The sequence below is a fragment of the Homo sapiens genome, chromosome 19 (assembly GCF_000001405.40).
Source record: "Homo sapiens chromosome 19, GRCh38.p14 Primary Assembly".
NCBI classification, from domain to species: domain Eukaryota; kingdom Metazoa; phylum Chordata; class Mammalia; order Primates; family Hominidae; genus Homo; species Homo sapiens.
This window is the reverse complement of record NC_000019.10, coordinates 18,581,634-18,607,181: the sequence shown is the minus strand read 5'-3', so window position 1 is coordinate 18,607,181 and position 25,548 is coordinate 18,581,634. Positions and strand designations below refer to the sequence as shown.

The 25,548-nt window shown below is 57.0% G+C and overlaps 2 protein-coding genes across 4 annotated transcripts, besides 8 other annotated features; one reads left to right on the top strand and one right to left on the bottom strand.

The window, feature by feature from the left end:
• Nucleotides 343–1,261: an enhancer, noted in NCBI's record as "H3K4me1 hESC enhancer chr19:18716731-18717649 (GRCh37/hg19 assembly coordinates)". NCBI's record gives its function as "activates a minimal SCP1, AML or CMV promoter by ChIP-STARR-seq in naive H9 embryonic stem cells {active_cell/tissue: H9 hESC(naive)}" and the evidence as "EXISTENCE:reporter gene assay evidence [ECO:0000049][PMID:30033119]".
• Nucleotides 383–13,945, top strand: CRLF1 (cytokine receptor like factor 1). The gene is made up of 9 exons (NM_004750.5): nucleotides 383–640; nucleotides 7,336–7,617; nucleotides 8,281–8,410; nucleotides 8,581–8,750; nucleotides 10,133–10,290; nucleotides 10,392–10,560; nucleotides 12,748–12,935; nucleotides 13,075–13,117; nucleotides 13,603–13,945. The coding sequence occupies exons 1-9, from the start codon at nucleotides 526–528 to the stop codon at nucleotides 13,614–13,616; spliced, it is 1,269 nt and encodes a 422-aa protein (NP_004741.1). The 5' UTR covers nucleotides 383–525; the 3' UTR covers nucleotides 13,617–13,945.
• Nucleotides 10,169–10,463: an enhancer, noted in NCBI's record as "tiled region #11645; K562 Activating DNase unmatched - State 5:Enh, and HepG2 Activating DNase matched - State 18:Pol2". NCBI's record gives its function as "activates a minimal TATA promoter and a strong SV40 promoter by Sharpr-MPRA in K562 cells, with weaker activation in HepG2 cells {active_cell/tissue: HepG2 | K562}" and the evidence as "EXISTENCE:reporter gene assay evidence [ECO:0000049][PMID:27701403]".
• Nucleotides 10,400–10,459: an enhancer, noted in NCBI's record as "active region_14328". NCBI's record gives its function as "activates an Ori minimal core promoter by ATAC-STARR-seq in GM12878 lymphoblastoid cells {active_cell/tissue: GM12878}" and the evidence as "EXISTENCE:reporter gene assay evidence [ECO:0000049][PMID:35858748]".
• Nucleotides 12,492–12,881: a silencer, noted in NCBI's record as "silent region_10411". NCBI's record gives its function as "represses an Ori minimal core promoter by ATAC-STARR-seq in GM12878 lymphoblastoid cells {active_cell/tissue: GM12878}" and the evidence as "EXISTENCE:reporter gene assay evidence [ECO:0000049][PMID:35858748]".
• Nucleotides 12,902–12,991: a silencer, noted in NCBI's record as "silent region_10410". NCBI's record gives its function as "represses an Ori minimal core promoter by ATAC-STARR-seq in GM12878 lymphoblastoid cells {active_cell/tissue: GM12878}" and the evidence as "EXISTENCE:reporter gene assay evidence [ECO:0000049][PMID:35858748]".
• Nucleotides 13,625–14,126: an enhancer, noted in NCBI's record as "H3K4me1 hESC enhancer chr19:18703866-18704367 (GRCh37/hg19 assembly coordinates)". NCBI's record gives its function as "activates a minimal SCP1, AML or CMV promoter by ChIP-STARR-seq in naive H9 embryonic stem cells {active_cell/tissue: H9 hESC(naive)}" and the evidence as "EXISTENCE:reporter gene assay evidence [ECO:0000049][PMID:30033119]".
• REX1BD (required for excision 1-B domain containing) lies at nucleotides 14,845–18,384 on the bottom strand. Of its 3 annotated transcripts, none has more exons than NM_001100418.2 (5): nucleotides 18,282–18,384; nucleotides 18,105–18,187; nucleotides 17,499–17,769; nucleotides 16,249–16,328; nucleotides 14,845–15,074 (listed from the first exon to the last, which is right to left on the bottom strand). In NM_001100418.2, the coding sequence occupies exons 1-5, from the start codon at nucleotides 18,378–18,380 to the stop codon at nucleotides 15,002–15,004; spliced, it is 606 nt and encodes a 201-aa protein (NP_001093888.1). In that variant the 5' UTR covers nucleotides 18,381–18,384; the 3' UTR covers nucleotides 14,845–15,001. The 3 variants fall into 3 exon arrangements, with proteins under 3 accessions (NP_001093888.1, NP_001093889.1, XP_047294982.1); NM_001100419.2 differs by having other exon boundaries at nucleotides 17,499–17,703; XM_047439026.1 differs by lacking the exon at nucleotides 18,282–18,384 and having other exon boundaries at nucleotides 17,499–18,188.
• Nucleotides 15,010–15,533: an enhancer, noted in NCBI's record as "H3K4me1 hESC enhancer chr19:18702459-18702982 (GRCh37/hg19 assembly coordinates)". NCBI's record gives its function as "activates a minimal SCP1, AML or CMV promoter by ChIP-STARR-seq in naive H9 embryonic stem cells {active_cell/tissue: H9 hESC(naive)}" and the evidence as "EXISTENCE:reporter gene assay evidence [ECO:0000049][PMID:30033119]".
• Nucleotides 18,037–18,556: a silencer, noted in NCBI's record as "silent region_10409". NCBI's record gives its function as "represses an Ori minimal core promoter by ATAC-STARR-seq in GM12878 lymphoblastoid cells {active_cell/tissue: GM12878}" and the evidence as "EXISTENCE:reporter gene assay evidence [ECO:0000049][PMID:35858748]".

Sequence of the window (25,548 nt, the reverse complement as noted above, 5' to 3'; positions counted from 1 at the left end):
GAGTGGGGCAGGGTTGGGGACCAAAGGGGCCACTGAAGAGGCACTGGGCTGAGAGGAGGGTGCAGGGAAGTGGGCAGGGTTATGGAAACGGGATTGGGGGTGCCGGGTCCCAGACTGGGGGTGGGAAGCCTGGAGCTGGCAGGGTTGGAGAGGGAGGTCCTGGGCCGGTAGGGGTTGAGTTAGGGGGCTTTGGGCCGCGGGATAGGGCGCGCGCGGTTCTCGGTGGGGCGGAGGCGGGACGGGCGGGGCGCGCGGTGCCCGCGGGCGGGCGGGCGGCGGGGAGGCCGGTGCGGGGCCCGCCGCCCCCCCGGGGCCGGGCCGGGCCGGGGGCGGGGCCGGGCGGGGCCAGCGGCGCATTAGCGCCTTGTCAATTCGGCTGCTCAGACTTGCTCCGGCCTCCGCGTCCGCGCCCAGCGACGTGCGGGCGGCCTGGCCCGCGCCCTCCCGCGCCCGGCCTGCGTCCCGCGCCCTGCGCCACCGCCGCCGAGCCGCAGCCCGCCGCGCGCCCCCGGCAGCGCCGGCCCCATGCCCGCCGGCCGCCGGGGCCCCGCCGCCCAATCCGCGCGGCGGCCGCCGCCGTTGCTGCCCCTGCTGCTGCTGCTCTGCGTCCTCGGGGCGCCGCGAGCCGGATCAGGAGCCCGTGAGTACCCGGCGCCCCACTCCTTCCCCCCTGCCAGAGCAGAGGGCGGGCGCCCCGGGGGCAGCCGCGGGGGGAGGGGGCGCGGGCGCCACCTGGACGGCCGGGGAACAAAGGAAGGCGCCCCCGGCGCAGCCCTCGGGGCGCCCTCACCTGCGGGGCACACGGCGCCGCAGTCCACTGTCCAGAGAGTCCTGCTTCCGCGCCCGAGGCCCTGTTACCTGGGCAGCTGGGCCGAGGGCGCCAGGCCAGGCCCCCGGGGGCTGGGGGGATCGCGGCCTGAGACCCTCTGCATGCCAGGACGTGGCGGGCGCACGCGTCTGCTTCGGTGGACTCTGGGCCCCTGGGACTGCAGGGCACCGCTCCCAGGCGGGGGCGCACGCGGTTGGCGCGCTGGGTGCGGGCCCCCAGCGGGCCCCCCCAGGCGGAGGGATGAGCCCCACGGGGAGGGCGGGGCTGCAGGGGGGCCGCTCTGGCCGCCTGGCGCGCAGCCCGGGGTCCCGGGGGACTTGTGTCTCCACGGGCCGGCGCCACCGCCCTCCCCCTGCGGGACCCGGCGCACGGGGGTCCGCGGAGTCCCCGCCACCGGCGGCGCTTAGAACCGTTTTCAGCCAGGCTGCGTCGGGCGGAGAGCCTCCAGCGAGAGGAATCTTTGTGAGCGAGTGGGTGAGAGGGAGAGGGAGCGGGAGCCAGTGAGTCCGGGCACCAGCGGGCCCAAACTTTGAGGGGGCCCACTGGGAACCCGCTGCCCTACGGGCCAAGACCCCTGCCCTGGAGGGACTTCTGGCCTCAGGCACTCTGGGGCCCCCCATCCAAGGAACACCCCCGCAAGGATACGTCTCCGTATGCAGACCCGCTCTGGGACACACCCAGAGACACACAAAGAATCACACTGGCTTGTGGCCCGTCACCCTCGCCCTCAAACTCGCGCACACTGCATCCCAGGTGCACATTCGCGCACCATCGCGGACGCACACACATTCCATCCCCGACACACACATTCACGGTCACACACATCCCACAGGGGAGGCGACCCAGGGGCACAGAGGCAGGCACCACTCGCCCCAGATGTTCAGTCACTCCACGCACCCCATCCAGGCGCACGGGCCACCCCGGGGGTCGCCGGGCACACACTGCTCCCAGGCTCATCCACCCTGTGCTGGGCTGTTTGCGGGCTGCCTGTAGGGCTCCTCCGGGAAGGGGCAGGGTCCGGGCATCTTCTAGGGGCACTTGCTGAAAGCCTGGCTCTCCCCTGGCTTTCAGGTGAGGGGCTACCTCGGGCCCTCCCAGGGCCCCTGACGGCTCTGCCAGGCGGTGGGCAGCGCCTGTGAGTGCCACTGTGAGCGCCAAGCTTTGTTTTCAGCCAGTAGAGCAGCAGGCGAAGGTGTAGGGGGTGGGGGGGCACTGTAAGTGTGTTTTTTCCTTTAAGGGGGGAAGAAATTAAATAAAAGATTCTCACACCTCGGCAATATGTTTCTACTTACGGTGTGTCTTAGCACCTGACCAGCAGGCGGGTGGGTCGTAAAGTGTCTGCAGGTACCAGCGGGACGGGAGATGGGGACCCCCGTGGGGACCCTGGGATGGAGGCCACCCTTCCGCCCTGCTTGCAGAGAATCTCACACTTTTCCCTTTTAAAACACATGGTGTTCCTTTTTAATAACGGCAGTGGCTCCAGATTGGGAAAAGAGGAGAGAAAAAACTTTTAAAGGCCCCAGCTCTGCGGGAAAGGAGGGGAGGCAGGGAGTGAAAAGGGAGCTGTTCAAAAGCCCAACCTAGGGATCTGCTTTGGGGAGCCCTAGGAGGCCCTCCAAACCAAGCCAAGCCCCCACCAACTCCGGCTCAGTGGGCTGTTCCCAGCTGCTCCCCTGCCTGGCCTGGAGTGCGTGCATCTCTGTCCCCAGCGCCTTAGCCCATTGTTTGTGGAGGCCTGGAGGGAGTGCCTAGTCAGCCGGGACCCCAGAGCTGGGAGGGGCTGTCATCTTTGCAGCTCCTGGGGGCTTCAGGCTTCTGAGCCCTCTGGACATTGGATTGCAATCACATCTCATTGATCTCCCCAGCAAGTAGAACGTATTTCTCCTCCCATTTTATGGAGGAGAAAATTGAGAACTGGAGAGGGGAAGTCAATTGGCCAGGTTCTCCCACTGGTGTTGCGCCCATATCCCGGGAGGAGAAAGTGTCCTTCTGACCTTACCGGCTGGGGCTAAGGGGGTGGGAGATTGGTCTGTCCAGGCCCGCCTGGCCTTGCCTTCCCCCTACAACCCGTCGCCGCCCGGTGTCCCCCGCCCAGCCCCGGGAGGGCAGCTGCAGCTGCTGGCAAGTGAGCCACGCCGGCCCAGGCCAGGCGGGTGTGGCAGAGGGGCAGCGCCCCCCAGCCAGGACCCCCCAGAGAGCCCCTTCCTGCCCAGGCCAAGCTGGCGGGTGGTGGGGGCAGGAGGAGTGAGACCCACTCTAGAAGGGCTGAGAGGGGCCTGGGGTCTGGGCAGGCCTGGCCGTGCCTCCCACTCTGTTGGGGGGGCCCAGGCAGGAAGCGGTGGGTGGGCCGGGGCAGAGACGCTGGCACACCCGAGTTCATGCAAAAGGAATTCCGAATTAGCGGGCGGCTGGCTGCCTGGGACCTCCAGGGCGGTCCCCTGGCCCCCAGCCCCCCGCCCCCCTCGGCCGCCCCCGCCTCCTCGGCTCTGGCCCGCTCAGCCGGCTCCTTCGCACGGACGCGGAGACCTCCGGCGAGCCCTGGGCCAAGCCCCAAGCGCAACTGCGATTCCAGGCTCCAGCGAGACAGAGCCCTCGAGCCAAGTTTGCCCCGGAAAATCATCAGGGCCGGCCCAAGAACCGTGTCCACCCCACCTCGCCCATCTGGGGCAGTGAGGGCAAGTGCAGGGCAGCGCTGGCATTCAGGGGGCCTCCCTGGGGGCCAGGATCACCCTGTCCTTGGCTGCCATCTCTGCGAAGCTGGGCTGCCCCTGCCTCCTGCAGTCCCTTCTTCCAGCCGCCTGGGGAGTCCTTTTAACGCATATCTCACCGCATCCCTCCCTCCCCGGCTGAGAACCCTGGAATCCCTCCTCCCTGCAGGTCAGGGTCTCTGACCTCTCAAACCTCATTTCCCACCGCTTCTGCCCCAGGACCTTGGCACTTGCAGCTCCCACTGCCTGGACATGCTCTGTTAGATAATGTCACAGCTACTTCTCTTACTTTATTCAGGTCTCTGCTCAAAGGTCACCTCCCCAGACAGGCCTCCCAAGCTTCTGCCGCTGCTCTGTCTTCCTCCAGCCCCTGCTTTACTTTCTCCCCTAGTTATTGTCTTAGATATTTATTTATTCCTTTTTCCTGCTGCTTCCTTGGATTTGATGCCCACAAGGGCAGGACTTTTGTGTGTCTTGGGCATCACCCCAGTGCCCACAGATCCGGACACACTATAGGTACCCTGTGAATGAATAGATGAACGCGTGAACGAACAAAGGCGTGGATGAGTCTTTACAACCACTCTGTGTGGAACGAGAAGCCCCTTTCCAGAGGCTCAAAGAAGTAAAACACTGAGGCCGGGTGCAGTGGCTCACGCCTGTCATCCCAGCACTTTGGGAGGCCAAGGCGGGTGGATCACTGGAGGTCAAGAGTTCGAGACCAGCCTGGCCAACATGGCGAAACTCCGTCTCTCCTAAAAATACAAAAATTAGCTGGGTGTGGAGGTTATGGTGAGCCGAGATTGTGCCACTGCACTCCAGCCTGGGTGACAGAGTGAGACTCTGTCTCAAAAAAAAAAAAAAGTAGAACACTGAGTCAGGCTGGGGGCATTCGAGTCCAGGTCAACTTGGTTTAAAGATCTCATGGGAAAATATTGTCTCCAACAATATTTTCACTCCTCTCAAACAACCTCATGAGGTTTGTTTTGTTGGTTTTTATAAATTTAAATCTAAATTTTTTATTTCTTTTTTGAGACAGGGTCTCACTGTCACCCAGGCTGGAGTGCAGTGGTGCAGTCATGGCTCACTGCAGCCTCAACTTCCCGGGCTCCAGCGATCCTCCTGCCTCAGCCTCCCAAGTAGCTAAGACCACAGGCATGGGGCCACCACCCCCTCCCCACCTGGCTAATTTTTGTATTTTTGGTAGAGACAGGGTTTCACCATGTTGCCCAGGCTGTCTCAAACTCTTGACCTCACGTGATCCTCCCACCTCAGCCTCTCAAAGTGCTGGGATTACAGGCATGAGCCACCGCACCCAGCCAACCCCATGACATTGACGCCATGATGTCCACTTTCCAGATGGGGAAACTGAGACTCAGAGAGGCATTGGGAGGTTGGCCTGTGCACCCCCTCCTCCTCTGGGCCTTGGTTTCCCTATGGACAAGGTTCTGGTCTCCAGAAGGGGAACTCCTGGGCTGCCCTGATGGCCAGCAGGAGAGAGAGGCATCAACCACCCATGGGCGTCCCCAAGTTTCCTGTGCCTAGTACCTGACTCACACACAACCTGGTTCAGGAAGTCCTTTCCCCTCTGACTTTCACAATACCCCAGGAGACAAAGAGCTTTCTCGTTCTCACTTTGCAGATGAGGAAAACTGAGTGGAGGGAAACAGCGATGATGTCAAGTCCCTTTGGATGGGAGTTGGGGACGTGCAGTTTGCCAGGGCTGCCTTTAGTTCCAGAGGTAGGCAGTGTGGAACAGAACTTTGGAGACCAGAAAATCTGGGCCTAACTAGTATGGCCTTCCCTCATTCCAGCAAGGAAACTCCATCTTTCAGAGCCGGAGTTTTTTCATCTTTAACATATAAGCAGGATTGGCCGAGAAAATGTAGGTAGTCTTAGCCCAGTATTCAGAACACAACAAGTGCTCAATAAATGGTGCTGTTAGGCCAGGCGCAATGACTCACGCCTGTCATCCCAGCACTTCGGGAGGCTGAGGCGAGTGGATCACTTGATGTCAGGAGTTCGAGACCAGCCTGGCCAACATGGCGATTCTTGGACTCTACTAAAAATACAGGCTGGGCGCGGTGGTTCACCCCTGTAATCCCAGCACTTTGGGAGGCTGAGGCAGGCGGATCACAAGGTCAGGAGTTCGAAACCAGCCTGACCAGCACGGTGAAACCACATCTCTACTAAAAATACAAAAATTAGCCGGGCACGGTGATGTGTGCCTGTAATCCCAGCTACTCGGGAGGCTGACGCAGGAGAATCACTTGAACCTGGGAGGCGGAGATTGCGGTGAGCCGAGATCGTGCCATTGCACTCCAGCCTGGGCAACAAGAGCAAAACTCCGTCTCAAAAAAAAAAAAAACATGGTGCTCTTAATGATTCAAGTAAGGGTCAGGGCTTTCATTTTAAGCAGTGCCCTTCCCCCACAGAAACACCTACTATGTGTGAGGCTCTGGGAGCATCACAGGAAGAACCCACAATCTTTTGTTTCTAGTTGCCAAAAAAGAAAAACAAAATGAGAATGAAAAATAAAGAAGGCTAGGCACCGAAGCTCATGCCTGTGATCCCAGGACTTTGGGAGGCCAAGGTGGGAGGATCGCTTGAGGCCAGGAGTTCAAGACCGGCCTGAGCAAACTAGCGAGACCTCATCTCTAAAAAAATATTTAAAAATCAGCCAGGTGTGGTGGTGCACACCTGTAGTCCCAGCTACTTGGGAGCTGAGATGAGGGAGGATCACTTGAACCCAGGAGATCGAGGCTGCAGTGAGCTATGATCGTGCCACTGCACTCCAGCCTGGCCAACAGAGTGAGACCCTGTCGCTAAAAAAATAAAAAGCAAAGCATGCCTGGGTGTATTGGCTCACTCCTGTAATCCCAGCACTTTGAGAGGCCGAGGGAGGTGGATCACGAGGTCAGGAGTTCAAGACCAGCCTGGCCAATATGGTGAAACCCCGTCTCTACTAAAAATACAAAACTTGGCCAGGCGCAGTGGCTCACGCCTGTAATCCCAGCACTTTGGGAGGCCCATACGGATGGATCATGAGGTCAGGAGATCGAGACCATCCTGGCTAACATGCTGAAACCCCGTCTCTACTAAAAATACAAAAAATTAGCCAGGCGTGGTGGCGGGCGCGTAGTCCTAGCTACTTGGGAGGCTGAGGCAGGAGAATGGCATGATCCCGGGAGGCGGAGCTTGCAGTGAGCCGAGATCGTGCCACTGCACTCCAGCCTGGGCGACAGAGCAAGACTGCGTCTCAAAAAAAAAAAAATACAAAAGTTAGTCAGGCATGGTGGTGCACACCTGAAGTCCCAGCTACTCGGGAGGCTGAGGCAGAAGAATTGCTTGGACCCGGGAGGCGGAGGTTGCAGTGAGCCGAGATCGTGCCACTGCACTCCAGCCTGGGCGACAGAGCGAGACTCCGTCTCAAAAAAAAAAAGCAAAGCATAGTGTTTGTCATAACGATGTGCTAAGCAAGAGTCACTTGGATCCGAATGAGCCTCTATGCCCGAGTTGTGTGACCCCTCAGAGAACCTTAAGCATGTCAGTGATGAAGAGTTTTGGAAGGATCCAGTGTTGGAGTCAGACAGACCTGGACAACTCCAGGTCTGTCAGTTTGGCCACCAGTGTTGCCCTGGGCATTTAACCCAACTGATCTCTACCTTCCCTATCTGTAAAATGGGGGACAATCATTAACAGCGTCTTTTCAGGACCACCATGAACCCTGGAGGTCCTGGCATGGTTGGGGGCTTGGAGGGTCCCCGCCCTGGCCTGACACGTGTTCCTCTTTGACCCCAGACACAGCTGTGATCAGTCCCCAGGATCCCACGCTTCTCATCGGCTCCTCCCTGCTGGCCACCTGCTCAGTGCACGGAGACCCACCAGGAGCCACCGCCGAGGGCCTCTACTGGACCCTCAACGGGCGCCGCCTGCCCCCTGAGCTCTCCCGTGTACTCAACGCCTCCACCTTGGCTCTGGCCCTGGCCAACCTCAATGGGTCCAGGCAGCGGTCGGGGGACAACCTCGTGTGCCACGCCCGTGACGGCAGCATCCTGGCTGGCTCCTGCCTCTATGTTGGCCGTAAGTTGGCACCCAGGACACCCCAGGGGTAGCTCTTGGGAGCGGCATCTCCCTCTGGAGTGAGGCATGAATTGTGGGCCTTCTGGCCTGGGGATGAGCTGTGGGCACACTGGCATGGCTATGCAGGTCTTTCAGGTGGGAATGAGAACCTGGAGACCCGGTCGGGCAAGGTGGCTCATGTCTGTAAGCCCAGCACTTTGGGAGGCTGAGGTGGGTGGATCACTTGAAGCCAGGAGTTCGAGGCCAGGCTGGCCTACATGGCGAAACCCCATCTCTACTAAAAATACAATACTTAGCCAGGCGTGCTGACAGGCACCTGTAATCCCAGCTACTTGGGAGGCTGAGACAGGAGAATTGCTTGAACCCAGGAGGCGGAAGTTGCAGTGAGCTGAGATGGCACCATTGCACTCCAGCCTGGGGGACAGAGCGAGACTTTGCCTCGAAAAAAGAAAAAGAACCCGGAGATCGAGTCACCAGCCTCTCAAGAGCCCTTGCAGTTGTCACACCAACTGTGCTGGCATTTCTCAGCACAGGGCTGAGACTGTCCTGTCTGCCCTCCTTCCACTCCAAGGTGGGGGCCTGGTGGGTGGGCAGCAACCCCTCAGCCGAGGCTCAGCTAGTCCAGACCCTCAGCCTGCTTCCTGCACCCTCCCCTTCTCCCAGTGCCCCCAGAGAAACCCGTCAACATCAGCTGCTGGTCCAAGAACATGAAGGACTTGACCTGCCGCTGGACGCCAGGGGCCCACGGGGAGACCTTCCTCCACACCAACTACTCCCTCAAGTACAAGCTTAGGTTGGTGGTGGCCTGAGGGCGATGTGTGTGTCCCAGGCTGGCTGCGTGACCTTGACCAACGCGGACCCTCTCTGAGCCCCCATGTGTTGTCTGCACCCTGAGGCTGCCATGGTGAGGTCTGGGGGCCACAAGGAACCCTCATGCGTCCTGTCGCCCTCCCATCCCCGCAGGTGGTATGGCCAGGACAACACATGTGAGGAGTACCACACAGTGGGGCCCCACTCCTGCCACATCCCCAAGGACCTGGCTCTCTTTACGCCCTATGAGATCTGGGTGGAGGCCACCAACCGCCTGGGCTCTGCCCGCTCCGATGTACTCACGCTGGATATCCTGGATGTGGGTGAGCCCCCAGTGTCTGCTAGGCCCCTCCCTCGGCACCAGCCCCACCCACCGAGCATCCCGAGGGGTCCCCTGCACCTTCTCATTTTTCCTAGGGTCCCACCTGCCCCTCCCCAGCCCGGCAACTCCCGGGTTGTCCCTGCTGGTCAGAGGGAAGGTAGGTAAGTAGCTGAGCATCCGCTCATCAGTCCGCAGCCCCCAGAAACAGCCAGGATACCCCCACTCCACAGAGAACACCTGGCCTGGCCACCACCCCCTCGGCAGCCCAGGTGTGCAGGAGGGGGCCCTGGGGAGAGGGGAGGGGGCGCCCAGGTCGGGAGGCGCCCCAGGAAGCCGAGGCCTGGAGCTGGGGGGCGCAGGGCGGGAGGCAGGAAATGGATGATCTGTGAGCAGAATTGAGCCTAATCTAATTAGGGTGTTTCTCAGCCCCAAGCAGGCCTGTGCCTTAACCCTTTAGGCCCCTCACCAAGGCCTCAGGGGGAGAGGCCAGCTCACCCTGCTGCCCTCAGGGGCCCCCAGAAGGATCCTCAGAACCCCCCAACACACACATACGCCTGGGTTGTAGCCCCCATCCCTGCCCCCGCAGCCTGCCTCACTCTTCCCCACATCCTAACGCTACAGTGGGAAAGTTCTAAGCCTCAGTTGCTTCTCTGCACCCAGCAAAATGTCACATCAAAGATTTCAGTAAGAGTGGAAGGGAGGGCCGGGCGCGGTGGCTCACACCTGTAATCCCAGCACTTTGGGAGGCCGAGGCGGGCGGATCACGAGGTCAGGAGATCGAGACCATCCCGGCTAAAAAACGGTGAAACCCCGTCTCTACTAAAAATACAAACAATTTAGCCGGGCGTAGTGGCGGGCGCCTGTAGTCCCAGCTACTTGGGAGGCTGAGGCAGGAGAATGGCGTGAACCCGGGAGGCGGAGCTTGCAGTGAGCCGAGATCCCGCCACTGCACTCCAGCCTGGGCGACAGAGCGAGACTCCGTCTCAAAAAAAAAAAAAAAAGAGTGGAAGGGAGGTGTGAGTGGGGAGGGGGTGGCAGGGAGGTTCCCAGAAGGCTGACGGCCTGACAGCCCCTGGCCTCCTAAGCATGATAATAATAATATCATCAACCCCGCAATGGCTGCTTTCCCATAGTCAGTTGAAGATAGGATTATGTTTCTCCCGTCACAGATAATAATGGTGATAACAGCTAACATTAATTAGGTGCTGAGTGTTTCTCCAATATTATATATCGTGTAATCCACCAGTCCTGGGGGTGGGGGCAGAGGGAAGAGGAGGAAAACAGAGGCAGGTTCCATCTAGGCCAAGTGCCCTGGGCCACACTGCTGGGGGGAGTTAAACCCAGACAGTCCCAGGCTGAGAGGGTCCCTCCTCTGCCCCGCAGTGACCACGGACCCCCCGCCCGACGTGCACGTGAGCCGCGTCGGGGGCCTGGAGGACCAGCTGAGCGTGCGCTGGGTGTCGCCACCCGCCCTCAAGGATTTCCTCTTTCAAGCCAAATACCAGATCCGCTACCGAGTGGAGGACAGTGTGGACTGGAAGGTGACCCTCCCCTTCCCTGACTCCGCCCCTGTTCCTTCCAGGCCCCGCCCCCGCTCCTGCTAGGCCCCGCCCTCTACTCTGACCTTGTCCTCACTGTCCAGGTGGTGGACGATGTGAGCAACCAGACCTCCTGCCGCCTGGCCGGCCTGAAACCCGGCACCGTGTACTTCGTGCAAGTGCGCTGCAACCCCTTTGGCATCTATGGCTCCAAGAAAGCCGGGATCTGGAGTGAGTGGAGCCACCCCACAGCCGCCTCCACTCCCCGCAGTGGTGAGCACCCTCCTAGGGCTGGGTGATCCAGCGGCCAGTCCGAAACCAGCTAGAGCCTCTGTTTCCTTGTTTTCTTTTCTTTTTTTTTTCTTTTGAGACACGGCCTCATTCTGTCGCATAGTGGTGTGATCTGCACTCACTGCAACCTCTGCCTCCCGGTTTCAAGCGATTCTCCTACCTGAGCCTCCCAAGTAGCTGGGACTACAGGCACGCGCCAACATGCACAGCTAATTTTTGTATTTTTTAGTAGAGACAGGATTTCACCATGTTGGCCAGGCTGGTCTCGAACTCCTGACCTCGGGTGATCTGCCCATTTCGGCCTCCCAAAGTGCTGGGATTACAGGTGTGAGACACCATGCCCAGCCTGTTTCCTGATTGTCTCCAAGAGAGTAGAAGTCTCAAACTGGTGGCCCCCCCAGAGCTGAATGTGGCCCTTGGATCTATTTTCTTTGGCCTGTTGTTTGGAAAACAAAAAAAAAGTTTGACCAACTAGTAGAAATTTTAAACCCAGGAAGTTTTTACACAAATATCCTAGATTCCCTAGAAAAATAAATTATCTAGAAAATGTAACAGCATGGCCTACAGCCCCCACCAGCAGTGGTCTCCCCTTCTCAGGACCCTCACTCTCCATTTGCCCATCCCCATCTGGTCTGTTTTGGCCACTCAGACTCCCTCCTAAGAGGGGGCCAGTGAGTTTGAGACCCCTGCTTCTAAGGCCAATGGGCTGCCAACTCCCACTTTGATGGGCCTCAATTTCTCCTTCTGATCAAGGCAGGGGGATGGGAATGATTAGGTGCCTAGGTCTGCTTCCTCTTGCTGTCTGGGATTTCTCCGGGTCCACAGGCCTCTAGTCTCTCTTTTGTGAAATGAAACGAAAGCTGTTACTTGGAATGTCTGGCCTCCGTTTCCCCATCTGGAAGGTGGGGTCGAGAATCCCACTTGCCTTGGGCTGTTATGAGGGTTGGATGACATAATTTGTGGCAAGTGCCCACATGGTGGGTGCCACCTAAGTGTTTGCAGGCAGTTGGCATGGAGGTACTTATTGTCCCATCCCCCCAGGGTTTCACTGCAAGGGAGGCCGCTTTTTCTCAGGTGAGGACACTGAGGCTCTAGGAGGTCACACAGGTCTAAACTTAGTTCACCGGGAAGACCAAGCTCACTCTGGCTCGTGAGATGATAGGGAAACTGAGGCCCAGAGAGGGTCCCAGAGCTAGGGAGGGGTAGAGTCAGGCTCCAGCCAGCTCCCCAGCCCCTATCCTGGGCCCCTCCAGGTTCAGGGGTGGGCGGGAGCAAGCGCAGCCGGGAGGGGCCTGAGCCTTGGCCCCTGCTCGTGCCCGGCACCTGCGATTCTTGCACAGGAGCCAGCAGGCCGCTGCGTCCGCAGGGGAGGCTGGGGAGGCCGGGGAAGGCCAGCAGGGGCGGCGGGGGCCGGGGCCGTGCCAGGGCCTGTCAGCGGGTCCCCGGCTTTATTTATGACGTGAGGCCGATGTCCTTATCCGCCGGCCTGCTGGGGGCTGGCTGCAGCCGGCAGCTGGACCGACAGGCAGGCCTCCCACCTGGCCCTCCTGGCCCACTCCCTGTCCCATGGGCCCATGCTGGGGACAGTCCCATGGGGTCATCTTGCACTCGGTCTCCCTTCATCTGTCACTCTTCCTCTGTGTCTCTGTCTCGATCTCTTTGTCCCTATGTCCCCAGGGTTTCTGTCCTACCCTGATCAGGCCCTTTCCTCCTGGGCTGACACCCTTGGCTTTCACCCACCCTGCGTCTCCATCTCTCCATCCCTGGCCCCGGCTCTCTCATCCGTGCGTCTTTCTCCCTTTCTCTTTTTCGGCCCCCTGCTCTGTCTGTCTATCTCTATGTCTCATCCCCCCGGCTCTGGCCTCTCTCATTCTCCCCTCCCCCCACTCCACTCGCACCTGGCTCAGGCCACAGGAATCGGGTTCCTGGAGGAGATGTGGAGGAGGAGCCCCTTCCTTCCCCCTCCCCCCCACCTCCCCAGGGGCGCAGCCGGGCCAGGGGCGCAGCTGGGCTGCTGTGCAGGGCCGCGGGGAGGACTCGGTCCTTGAGAAACGGGGAGGGAGGTTCCCCGAGGGGAGCATGGTCCCGCCGCGCCGGGGTCTCCCCTCTCCTGCCCGCGCGCACCCCCTGCCGGGCGCGCTCTGACACTGCCGCTCCGCCCACCACCAGAGCGCCCGGGCCCGGGCGGCGGGGCGTGCGAACCGCGGGGCGGAGAGCCGAGCTCGGGGCCGGTGCGGCGCGAGCTCAAGCAGTTCCTGGGCTGGCTCAAGAAGCACGCGTACTGCTCCAACCTCAGCTTCCGCCTCTACGACCAGTGGCGAGCCTGGATGCAGAAGTCGCACAAGACCCGCAACCAGGTAGGAAGGAGGGACCCTCGGGCGTGGGGGTGGGGACAGGGAGCTGGGGGGGCCCAGAAAACAGGGGAGGGGGAAGACAGCAGGCTGTGGACGCAGGTCTGCAGCCCCCACGACACCTCTGCCTTCCTTCCAAGCACAGGACGAGGGGATCCTGCCCTCGGGCAGACGGGGCACGGCGAGAGGTAAGGTGGGCCTGAATGGGTGGGCGGGAGGGAGCAAGGGGAGGGCCCCTTCCGGTGGCTGCAGGTCTTGTTCACACCCCCACGCCTCCCAACCCCAGCCTTAGAGTCGCTGAGATGGAATCCGTCCTCTTCCTTTGTTATTCATCAGCATTTACTTAGCACTTACTGTATAACTGGCATTGTCTCCTTTAGCCTAAGAACATTCAATGCCCTGAAAATGTCCGAAGTGGAATCTCCTCCGAAATGAATGAACATACTCACCCTAGTTAGCACGCATGGGCGCCTACTGCATACTGGCTCCGCGCCAAGTGCTTTACCTGCAGCTCAGATAGCCTCGCCAAGGCCCGGAGAGGGGCAGGACCCTGCCCAAAGTCACACAGCCAGAAGCGGTGGGGACAGGACACGAATGAAGCCTCCTTCAGTGGCTCTGTGGTGCGGCCCTCTCCTGGACTCCCTGCTTAGCTTGGCTTCCCCTCTGCCTGCAGGTCCTGCCAGATAAGCTGTAGGGGCTCAGGCCACCCTCCCTGCCACGTGGAGACGCAGAGGCCGAACCCAAACTGGGGCCACCTCTGTACCCTCACTTCAGGGCACCTGAGCCACCCTCAGCAGGAGCTGGGGTGGCCCCTGAGCTCCAACGGCCATAACAGCTCTGACTCCCACGTGAGGCCACCTTTGGGTGCACCCCAGTGGGTGTGTGTGTGTGTGTGAGGGTTGGTTGAGTTGCCTAGAACCCCTGCCAGGGCTGGGGGTGAGAAGGGGAGTCATTACTCCCCATTACCTAGGGCCCCTCCAAAAGAGTCCTTTTAAATAAATGAGCTATTTAGGTGCTGTGATTGTGAAGGTGAGTTTGGGGCCTGCCTGGCCTGGGGTGGGGGCTGTGAGATTTGAGGGGAATGTGAGGCGTCTTAATGACCCTTTGAGATTAGAATTTTCACCTCCCAGGACTTCAGACTGTCTATCCAGTATTTGCAAGGTCTGATTCTGAACTCCTTGGAGAATGTGATTCAAAATACCTGAGCTGGCTGGCTGCAAAGGCTCATGCCTGTAATCCCAGAACTTTAGGAGGCCAAGCTGGGAGCACTGCTCAAGGCCAGGAGTTGGGGACCAGCCTGGGCAACAAAGGGAGACCTCATCTCTACTAAAAGCAAAAAATTGGCCAGGCGCCATGGCTCACGCCTGTAATCCCGCCACTTTGGGAGGTTGACATGGGTGGACCACATGAGGTCAGGAGTTCAAGACCAGCCTGACCAACATGGAGAAACCCCGTCTCTACTAAAAATACAAAATTAGCTGGGCGTGGTGGTGCATGCCTGTGATCCCAACTACTCAGGAGGCTGAGGCAGGCGAATCACTTGAACCCAGGAGGTGCAGATTGCAGTGAGCCGAGATCGTACCATTGTACTCCAGCCTGGGCAAAAAGAGCAAAACTCTATCTCAAAAAAAAAAAAAATTAACTGGGCTTGTGGTGGCATGTGCCTGTAGTCCCAGCTACTTGGGAGGCTGAGGCAGGAGGACTGCTTGAGCCTGGGGAAGTCAAGGCTGCAGTGAGCCACGATCTCGCCACTGCACTCCAGTCTGGGTGACACAGCAAGACCCTGTCTCAAGCAAAAAAACCTCAGTTTCTAGGGAGGGTGGGAGTCTTCTACCCACAATCCCTGGCCCTGTGGGGGCCCCCTCCCTAGGCACACTGGCTGCAGCACCCTTGTACACAGAGATGGCAGAGCGGCTACAGAGGAGGAGCTCTTTATTGTGGGAGGTGTCTGGAACTGCAGGAAGGTCAGCAGCGCAGTGGGGCGCAACCCCAGCCAGCTGGCAGTTAGGGCTGGGCTGGGCGCCATCCGCCCCGTTTCCCATCTCCCTCGGCGCATCCCTGGGGAGCCGCCATCACTCGGCAGATTCCGCATCAAACCTAAGGTCCTGGAGAACCTCGCTGATCGCCTCCATGGTTTTAATTACCCTACAAGAGCGGATGGGAACTATAAATAAAACCCAGATGGGGTGAATTAGCTGCTGCCGCGAAGCTGCAAGAGGGCTGTGGCTGTGGTGAGCCCCAGGCCCTCCTGCCCGCCGCCAAACCTCCAGGCAGCACTAGCAGCAAGAGGGAACACTTAGGTGCTAGGGAGAAGGGGTGGCCCCATAGGTCACAGTGGGCTGAGAGAAAAGGCCATCTGGGCTGGGCATGGTGGCTCACGCCTGTAATCCAGCACTTTGGGAAGCTGAGGCAGGCAGATCACCTGAGGTCAGGAGTTCAAAACAAGCCTGGCCAACATGGCGAATCCCCGTCTCTACTAAAAATACAAGAATTAGCCAGGCATGGTGGCGGGCATCTGTAATCCAAGCTACTTAGGAGGCAGAGGTTACGGTAAGCCAAGACCGCACCACTGCACTCCAGCCTGGGTGACAGAGCAAGACTCTATCTCAAAAAAAAGAAAGAAAAAAGAAAAGAAAATAAAGGACCAGGCGTGCTGGCTTACGCCTGTAATCCCAGCACTTTGGGAGGCTGAGGTGGGCAGATCACGAGGTCAGGAGATCGAGACCATCCTGGCCAACATGGTGAAACCCATCTCTACTAAAATACAAAAAATTAGCTGGGCGTGGTGGCACGCGCCTGTAGTCCCAGCTACTCAGGAGGCTGAGGCAGGGGAATCACTTGAACCCGGGAGGCGGAGGTTGCAGTGAGCTGAGATCGCGCCACTGCACTCCAGCCTGGTGACAGAGTGAGACTGCATCTCAGAAAAAAAAGAAAAGAAAAGGCCATCTTGGTGGGGTGTGTACCATTAGGAGGTTATGAAGTGTGACTTTGTCAAATGTGTGTGTACATGAGTGTGTGTGCTTGGGGGCTGAGGACAGGCATCTGAAGGTCTGTGCTCAGTGGGGCATGTCCAAGCTCCACGGACAGCCACGTGTGCAGGATTGGCATGTGTCGAGGTATACAGCAGTGTCCCAGCAATGCACAGCGAAACTGATGTGAAGTTTCACGGCTGTGCCCTCTGGGGAAGTGTACATCTGAGGGCCACCAGGTGAGAACACCATTGTGCACTGGCAGAGGGTTCCTCTGCTGGCAGCGTCCTGACCGTGCCAACCCTGGTGCAAATCGAGCATAGCCAGGCGGCTTGGGCAGCAGCGCTCACTTCATTTTCAGCTGCTGCATCCGTACAGCGTCCTCCTGCCCCGCCAGCTCTGGCGTCTCCATCAACTGCAGCAGGGCCACCTGGTGGGGGAATGAGCAACACGAAGGATGTCTCCACGAGCAGAACCCACCCCCTGCCCTCCAAGGATGTTCAGGAAAAAACAGAGGCACCCAGAAAGGCAGTGCCCGGGTAGAACCACGAGGGGCAGTGCTTTGTGTAGGAAGAGTCCGAAATTCAGTTTAGAGGCTCTCTCAGAAAGGAGACAGCAGGCAGGCCAGAGGCAGTGCTGAGCGCGATGTGGGCGTGGCCTGGGAACAACAGTGACGTCTTAGCCAGGCATTGGCCGTAGGGGTGGGTTAGGTTGCGCCTCATGGTCCCAGGGACGGGGACCCAGGATAAAAGTAGGCCAAAAAGCCTGGACGCGGTGGCTCACGCCTGAAATCCCAGCACTTCGGGAAGCAGAAGAGGGCGGATCGCTTGAGACCAGGAGTTCGAGACCAGCCTTGCCCATATGGCACAACCCCGTCTCTACTAAAAAAAATACAAAATACAAAAATTATGCCTGTAATCCCAGCTACTCAGGAGGCTGAGGCAGGAGAATCGCTTGAATCTGGGAGGCGGAGGTTGCCGTTAGCCGAGATCGCGCCATTGCACTCTAGCCTGGGTGAGAGAGCAAGAGAGCAAGAGCCTGTCTTAAAAAAAAAAAAAAAAAAAAAAAACACCAGAAAGAAAAAGGCCAAAGAGACGCTGAGACGGGTCGCTCATGGGGGGCGTGGCCTAGGAATTCCAGTCACACACGGTTGCAGGGCCGAGCAGGCGGATCGCAAGAGAGAAATAGGCAAAGAACTAAAGCTGTGATGGAGGAATAATACGGAGGAGGCGTGGCCTGGGACCCCCCTCGCCTGTATCTACGGGAGGTTGAGGGTGGGACCCTAGACGCGGAACAACCAGAGTGGGTGGAGCATTGTTGGGGCGGGATCTGGGCATCTTGGAATAGCATTTAGGCGGAGCTGGGAGAAAGCGGGAGTGCTCTGGGAATAAGGACAAAACTTGGGAAAAAAATTGGGGATGAACAGCAGAGGGCAAGGTCCGAGAATCCCCAAGTGAAGCCTTAATAGAGGATTGGGGTGGGACAGGAAGGGGTGAGGTCTGTGTATGGGATACTGGGACCACCCCCCAACCAGGGGTGCGTCATGAGAGGAGCCGGCCAGGGTCCTAGAGACACGGCGGGGAAGGGGTGGTGGCCTCACCGTGCCCAGCCGCGTCTGCTCCAGCTCCTGCAGGCTGCGCACGTGGCCGGCGAGCAGCGGCTGCCTGCGAGGCCCGCCCAGCTCTGCTTCCACCGCCAGCACCTCCCGCGAGGCGGCGGCGAAGGCCTGGGTCACCCCGTGCACTGTGCTCCGGTAGCGCGCGAAGTCGTAGTCAGGGCCGCTGCGCAGGTACTGGCGGTGGCCTCTGCGGCATGTGGGGACCCTGAGGCCGCGCCCCCAGGCTCTCAGGCCCTGCACCGGCGCCAACCACCTGAAAGGCCCCCAGGAAGTGTCCCCAGACACCAGAGGGGAGGACTGGTAGGTAGGAAGGACGCTTCCTGACTCCCGCAGGGGAACGCGAGACAGGCCCACCCCTGCTCTTGGGGAGGAGAGAGAAGCCACGAAGAGTGAGTCGTCGGGTAGTGGGGACGTGCTGTGGGGCCTTTTTCGTGAAGGTGAGGACCCGGTGCCCCGAAATCCCCGCCCCATCTGACTCTGCAGCCACACAAGGACCCAGCTCCTCCTCCAGGCACGCCCGCCGAGAACACGCCCACGCCCGGAGCGGGCGGGGGACCGAACCCTGAGCCCCTCCGCGCCCCCACTCACTCCTCCAGTCGGCGGAAGCCCTGCGCGCGCTCAGCCTGCAGCTGGTGGATGCGCTGCACCAGCGTCCGGATCGGGGCGTCTTTCTGCGGGACAGGGGGCACGGCTGGGGCATGAAGCCCGCGCCCCTGGGTCTGCGCCGCCCGCCCCGCGCCCGTTCCCGCTTGGGCCTGGGCTCACCCAGGGCCACGCCGGCTCCTCGCGTCCCCGAGCTTCGGTGGCCTCCTCAGCAGCAGGCACTGCAGGGACCGTAGGCTCCGCCGCGGTCTCGGTGATCATGACTGCGCAGCCCTGGCCAGGCTCCGGAGCAGGCCCTTCCGCTGCGCCCGACGCCCCCTACAGGCCGGGAGGTCCACGGACCCCCTACCCTGCGGCCGGCCAGCCAGAAGGAAGAAAGGGGAACCAAGACCGCGGGCCGCCCAGTCAAGCCCACCCTTCTTGTTCCCGTCCAGGGCCCGCCTCCGATCGTGTTTTTCCTTGATTGTGCGGCTCTGAATACAGAACAGCTGTTAGCCTTGAGTTCGTTCCTATGCTTGTATCTCAACACCGACTTCCACTTGAAGCGGGTACTGAGCGTGGGTTTTGACGTTCAAGAGTGTTAAGTAAGCCTGGGCAACCTAGGGAGGCCCGATCTCTACAGAAAAACCAATTAGCCCGACATGGTGGCTCCCGCCTCCAGTCCCAGCTACTCGGGAGGCTGAGGTGGGAGGATTACATGAGCCCGGGAGTTGGGGGCTGCCATGAGCTATGACCATGCCACTGCACTCCAGCCGGAGCCACAGTGAGTCTGCCTCAAAAAAAGTGCAGTGGCTGGAACTCCACCAACATTAACAGAGATTCACTGGCTCTTCAGAGAATCACAGGGGTGAAGACAAGATTCAGTGACAGGGACGGTGTCAACAGCCCACCGAGTTGAATTGGGTGTCTTGTGTAATAGCCCTGAGCCTGGAGCATAGCAGGGGCCAGAACGACCTCAAAGTACAGAGGAGGCCTTGGAGCTTCCTGCTGGAGGGATACATGGGCTAGACAGAGCTTTGGAAAGCTTCCTCCTCCAGGGGCCCAGCCGGAGGAGCAGGAAGATGCTGGTAGCCTGACTTAGTGAAGAGGGACCAGCTCAGGTATGGGGTGACAGACACCAGCCTTTAAGGGGGAAGGGACTAGGCTGTTAGTGAGTTGGGAGTTTTTCTTGCCGATGGGTTCGTGGTCTCGCTAACTTTGAAGAATGAAGCTGTGGACCTTCGCGGTGTGTGTTACAGATCAAAAAGAGTCCACGGACCAGGAGAGTGAGCAGCAGGGCAGTTTATTGAACAAAGCGAAAGGAAAGCTTCCACATGCTGGAAGGGGACCCGGAAGGGTTGCCGTTGCTGGCTCCGGTGGCTAGGGCTCATATCCCTATGTTACCCCTCCCCTTTCTTTTTGTCCATTGAGAGTGGTTCTTTTTTCAATCCTCCTCTGGAGTGTTTTTTTTTTTTGTTTTTTTTTTTTTTTTTTTTTAGTGAGACAGAGTCTCGCTCTGTCGCCCAGGCTGCAGTGCAATGGCACGATCTCGGCTCACTTCAAGCTCTGCCTCCCGGGTTCACGCCATTCTCCTGCCTCAGCCTCCCCAGTAGCTGGGACCACAGGCGCCCGCCACCACACCCGGCCAATTTTTTGTATTTTTAGTAGAGGCAGGGTTTCACCGGGTTAGCCAGGATGGTCTCAATCTCCTGACCTCGTGATCCGCCCGCCTCGGCCTCCCAAAGTGCTGGGATTACAGGCGTGAGCCACCGCGCCCGGCCTGGAGTGGTTAATTCTGAATCCTTCACTCGATTGGTTAAGAACTCAAAACACTGAGTCACAGGGGTCTTCTGTGAAAGTCCCCAAACCTGCCCAGTAAATCCTGCCAACTCCACCCCTCAGTCCCCTCTCTCAACAGGAGAGCCCAACTGCTGTTGGGGTGTGGGAGGATGACCACTCTAATTGCTTCCTGCTGAATAGGGGCATAGAAGGGGTTCTGTAGCTGAGGTTTCCTCGTGAGAGGTGGTTTGGGTGTCAACGTCCGGGTATGGGCCGGCAGGCTGGTTTAGGGGTCCTTGATAATAGGTGCTGGTTGAAGTCATCTGAGGTTCCATCTGCAGTAACATTTCTAGTTTCATTGATTCTATTCAGGAAGAAACGAAAGGATGAAGGAACTGAAAAGACATGGGCCAAAGGTTACTCCTAGAATAATCATAAGGAAGGGACCTAAAAATGGAAGAAGCCAGTGGAGAACAGGCTGTGAGAACCCTGAGGTAGTTTCGGTTGTCCCACCATGTAGTCTGCTAGCTCTATCCTGAAGTCATTTAATTCCATCTCTCACTATGCCTGATTTATTGACATAAAAACAACATTCCTTGTTCAGAAAAAGGCATGTTCCTCCCCTTTCGGCAGTGAGGAGATTGGAGATCTAGTGCTCACTGGTTCTGGAGAACCACAGCTGCTAATGAGTCTATTTGGTCCTGGATTTGAGTAAGTTGGAGAGAGATTTCATCTAGGCTGTGAGTCCACTTCCTAGGTGGTAGTAAATCCTAAACCAGCCAATAGAGGAAGTAGTGAGATTGCTCTCGGCTGAAGCTTAGCATGAATGGGCACAGCTACTGCCTCTTCTGAAAAGGAATAAGTCACAGGAGGTACTATGTAGGCTAAAGTACAAGTTCCTGTCCAGTTGGTGGGGAGGCAAATATAGAAGGATCTTCCACACACAAAGAAAACTCCTTATCAGGGTTCTATACACCCCTGTAGCTGAAAACTCATAAGGGCTGTGGTCAGTCTAAATTCATTTCTCATTCCCATGATTTGAGGGTTCAGGACAAATGGGCCACTCCTAGCAGTTGGAGCTGAATAGAATTTGCCAAGGACGTATTATGGGGTTCCTGTAAGGCAAACCGGTGGCTAGCTGCATTAAGAAAAACTCTCGGCTGGGTGCAGTGGCTCACGCCTGTAATCCCAGCACTTTCGGAGGCCAAGGCTGGTGGATCACGAGGTCAGGAGATCAAGACCATCCTGGCTAACATGGTGAAACTCCATCTCTACTAAAAATACAAAAAATTAGCTGGGTGTGGTGGTGGGCGCCTGTAGTCCCAGCTACTCGGGAGGCTGAGGCAGGAGAATGGTGCAAACCTGGGAGGCGGAGCTTGCAGTGAGGGAGATCGCGCCACTGCACTCCAGCCTGGGCGACAGAGCGAGACTCCATCTCAAAAACAAAACAAAACAACAACAACAAAAAGAAAAACTCGCGCACCCCAGACAGGAAGCAGGAAGCAATGGGGTTTTTTTAACCCTTTGCCTGTGAGAGAGGAACCAAGTCCCAGGAGGGGGATATCCTGGGCAAAAGGAAGTCTGCCCCAGCAGTAATTGCTTGTTGTTTTGGCCTCTGGTGGGGGAATTATTTGGCTTGGGGTGGTAAATCTTAAGGGATAGGTGACTGAAATAGGGTTTCCAAGGAACTCATGTTTATTTCCACAAAACATTGGGGTGCCAGTAGTCGTACTGTAAGAATTAGAATATTTGAACTCTATATCCAAGGCAAGCTATAGTTGCAGCCAGCCACGTGTCCCACACCTTGTGATCATGGGAACACTTGATGGGAGATACAAAGGAGTGGAGGCGAAGAGAAGGAGGTTATTGTGCCCACAGAACCTATGATTGGGATAGCTGATAGAGCGAATTGTCGGAGAATGGCGGCGGCTGCTTTTAAGGCTGCTTGAGCCCTGTCAGGGAAATTGGACCTATCACTAGGATGAAAAAATCCTGGACCCTTAGAAGTGTTAGCTATGTATGAGGCCTCAGAGCTTTCCACCCATATGTTGAGGGGGGCCGGAACTGCTGTATATAAGGGGGAAATTAGGGTTCATGCAAACCCAACAGGATGAGTTACTCTGATTGGGAAGTGCTTCAAATAAAAACCTGGAGGACATGTTTATAATTCCCTCAAGGTAGGCCGGGCACGGTGGCTCACGCCTGTAATCCCAGCACTTTGGGAGGCTGAGGAGGGCAGATCACGAGGTCAGCAGATCGAGACCACGGTGAAACCCCGTCTCTACTAAAAATACAAAAAATTAGCCAGGTGTGGTGGTGGGCGCCTGTAGTCCCAGCTACTTGGGAGGCTGAGGGAGGAGAATGGTGTGAACCCGGAAGGCAGAGCTTGCAGTGAGCCGAGATCACGTCACTGCACTCCAGCCTGGGCGACAGAGCGAGACTCTGTCTCAAAAAAAAAAAAAAAAAATAATAATAATAATAATAATTCCCTCAAGATTAGGGGAAGACATTGAGCGGGGAAAGGTTAAGACTTGGGCAAAGGCAAGGAATGTTAGGATGTTAGAGTACATTCTGTTTTTAAAACAAGAACTGAGGTAGAACTTATGAGCACTGATTAATTTTCCTTCTGAAAGAGGATACATAAGTCTTCCAATGGCTCGTGGGTGTAAGAAGGTTTGTCTGGCTGACTCTTAGATTCCCAAGCTAATGATTCTGCGGGTTTTTCAGGCTGTATCCAAGGTTTGATTCAGGTGTGATGGATCCAAGACTCCACTCCAATCACCTTGACTGCAGTTGGAGTGGAGAGGATAACCAAATATGGTCCTTCCCACGATGGATCTAGGGATGGGGAGGTAGAGGGGAGGGACTTGACTAATACTAGATCCCTGGGATGGAACGATGCTTTTCCCTTTTCTCGGTGGCATCCCTCGGGTAATGTCTTTAGGATTTGCTGGTACCTAGCCAAAGAAGTTATGTCCTTGACCAAGTTGGCAGTTTCTCAATCAAGTAAGAGGTTGTTTGTGAGAAAAGGCTGTCCATATAGCATTTCATAAGGACTGAGTCCTATCTTGTGGGGAGAATTTAGGATCCTTAATAATGCTATGGGCAAGAGGGTGAGTTTCCATGGGAGGTGAGTTTCTTGTGTTAATTTCCTTGAGTGCCTTTTGAGTGTTTCATTAATCTTCTCGACTTTCCCTGAGGATTGTGGTCCCTGGGCGCAATGAAGGTGATTTTTTTTTTTTTTTTTTGAGGGAGTCTCGCTCTGTCGCACAGGCTGGAGTGCAGTGGTGCAATCTCGGCTCACTGCATGCTCCATCTCCCGGGTTCACGCCATTCTCCTGCCTCAGCCTCTCGAGTAGCTGGGACTACAGGCGCCCACCACTACGCCCGGCTAAATTTTTTGTATTTTTAGTAGAGACGGGGTTTCACTGTGTTAGCCAGGATGGTCTCGATCTCCTGACCTCGTGATCCACCTGCCTCGGCCTCCCAAAGTGCTGGGATTACAGACGTGAGCCACCGCGCCCGGCCAATGAAGGTGATATTGTATCCCTAGCGCCTTGGAAATTCCCTGAGTCACTGTGGCTCTGAAAGCCGGGCCATTATCACTTTGTAAACTACAGGGAAGTCCAAACCTAGGAATTATTTCATGGACCAGGGCTTTGATTACCTCCTGGGCCTTTTCTGTCTTACAGGGGAAGGCTTCAACCCAATTCGTGAAGGTATCAACACAGGCTAGTAAGTATTGAAGTCCCCGTGACTTAGGCATATAAGTGAAATCTAACTGCCAGTCCTCTCCAGGGTAGTGCCCTGTCCTTTGTTCTCCATGAGGGGCTTGGCAATGGACCAAGGGGTTATTCCTTTGGCACACTTCGCAGGCCTTGACTGTCTGCCGGATGGTTTTAAGGAGGTCTCGTCCAGTGAACAGAGATTTGACCATTTGATGGGTATTCTCAATACCCCTATGGAATGTTTGGTGAACGGTTTTAAGTATTTTCCATTGATTAGCTGCGGGTATGGGCACCTTTCCCTCCTGAGTAGCTAGCCACCCCGAGGGGAGAAAACTATGTCCCCATGAAAGTCCCCATTCCATTTCTGCAGGGGAATACTGGGGCCTGGTCTCCTGAAGGGGGTTATCCCATACCAAGGGTCCCTCCATAGGTGTTTCTAATGGGAGGTCCCGTCTTGCGGCAACTTTGGCCTCAGCGTCTGTGCAGCGATTTCCTTTTGCCTCCTTTCCTTTGCCTTTCTGATGGCCTTTGCAGTGCAAGGCCACTACCACTTCCTTGGGTTTCTGCACTGCCTGTAATAATTTCATAATTTCTTCATGGTATTTAATGGGTGTTCCTCCGGAGGTTAGGAACTCCCTTTCTTTCCATATGGCAGCATGGGCATGTAGAACTAGATAAGCAAATTTGCTCTCTGTATATACATTTATACTTTTTCCCTTTCCCAGCTCTAAAGTTCGGGTAAGCGCCACTAGTTCTGCTAACTGGGTGCTGGTCCCTGGGGGAGGGGCCCACTTTCAACTACTGCTTTATCACTAACCTATGGTATATCCTGCCCTTTGTAATCCCTTTTCTACAAACGAACTTCCATCAGTATATATATAGGTTGAGGTCAGGGTTGGCTAAGGGGACCTCTAAAAGATCCTTCTGGGCAGCATAAGTTTGGGTTAAGAGCTGCACAAGTGCGCATCTGAAGCACCAGTCCCTCAAGTAATAAGGCCTGGTACCTAAGTAGGCGATTGTCTGACAGCCACAAACCTCCTTTAGCAGTTAGTATGCCGTTGACATCGTGAATAGTCCATACAGTGATGTCTCTCCCTTGTATTATTTTGACAGCCTCTAATACTAAAATGGCCACTGCAGCTACCACCTGCAGACAGTGAGGCCAGTCCTTTGCTACCACATCAATTTCTTTACTCAGATATGCTACTGGCTGTATGGTAGTCCCTCAAGTCTGGGTAAGGACTCCAAGAACTATTCCCATTCTTTCTGTGACATACAAAGAGAAATTTTGTCCCGTAGGTAGACCCAGAACTGGGACTTGTGTTAGGGCCTGTTTTAGGGTTCTGAAGGCTGCCTCTGCCTCTGGTCCCCATTCTATCAAATGGGTATTAGCTTTTTGGGTCTCCTTAATTAGAGTGTAAAGTGGCCTGGCCATTTCGCTGTATCTGGGGATCCACAGTTGGCAAAAGCCAGTTATTCCAAGAAACCCTGTCAACTGTTTTAATGTCTGAGGGTGAGGATAAGCCAGTATAGACTGGATAGGTTTTTTGTTGAGAGCCCTGGTTCCTTTAGCCAAAACCAGCCCTAGGTATTTGACCTGCTGTAAACAAAGCTGGGCCTTTGATTTAGATACTTTGTAACCTCGATCAGCTAGAAAGTTTAAAAGGCCTTGGGCTCAAATGTAATCCCAGCACTTTGGGAGGCTGAGGTGGGTGGATCATGAGGTCAGGAGATCGAGACCATCCTGGCTAACAAGGTGAAACCCTGTCTCTACTAAAAGTACAAAAAATTAGCCAGGCGTGGTGGCAGGCGCCTGTACTCCCAGCTACTCGGGAGGCTGAGGCAGGAGAATGGCATGAACCCAGGAGGCGAAGCTTGCAGTGAACCGAGATTGCGCCACTGCACTCCAGCCTGGGCAACAGTGCAAGACTCCGTCTCAAAAA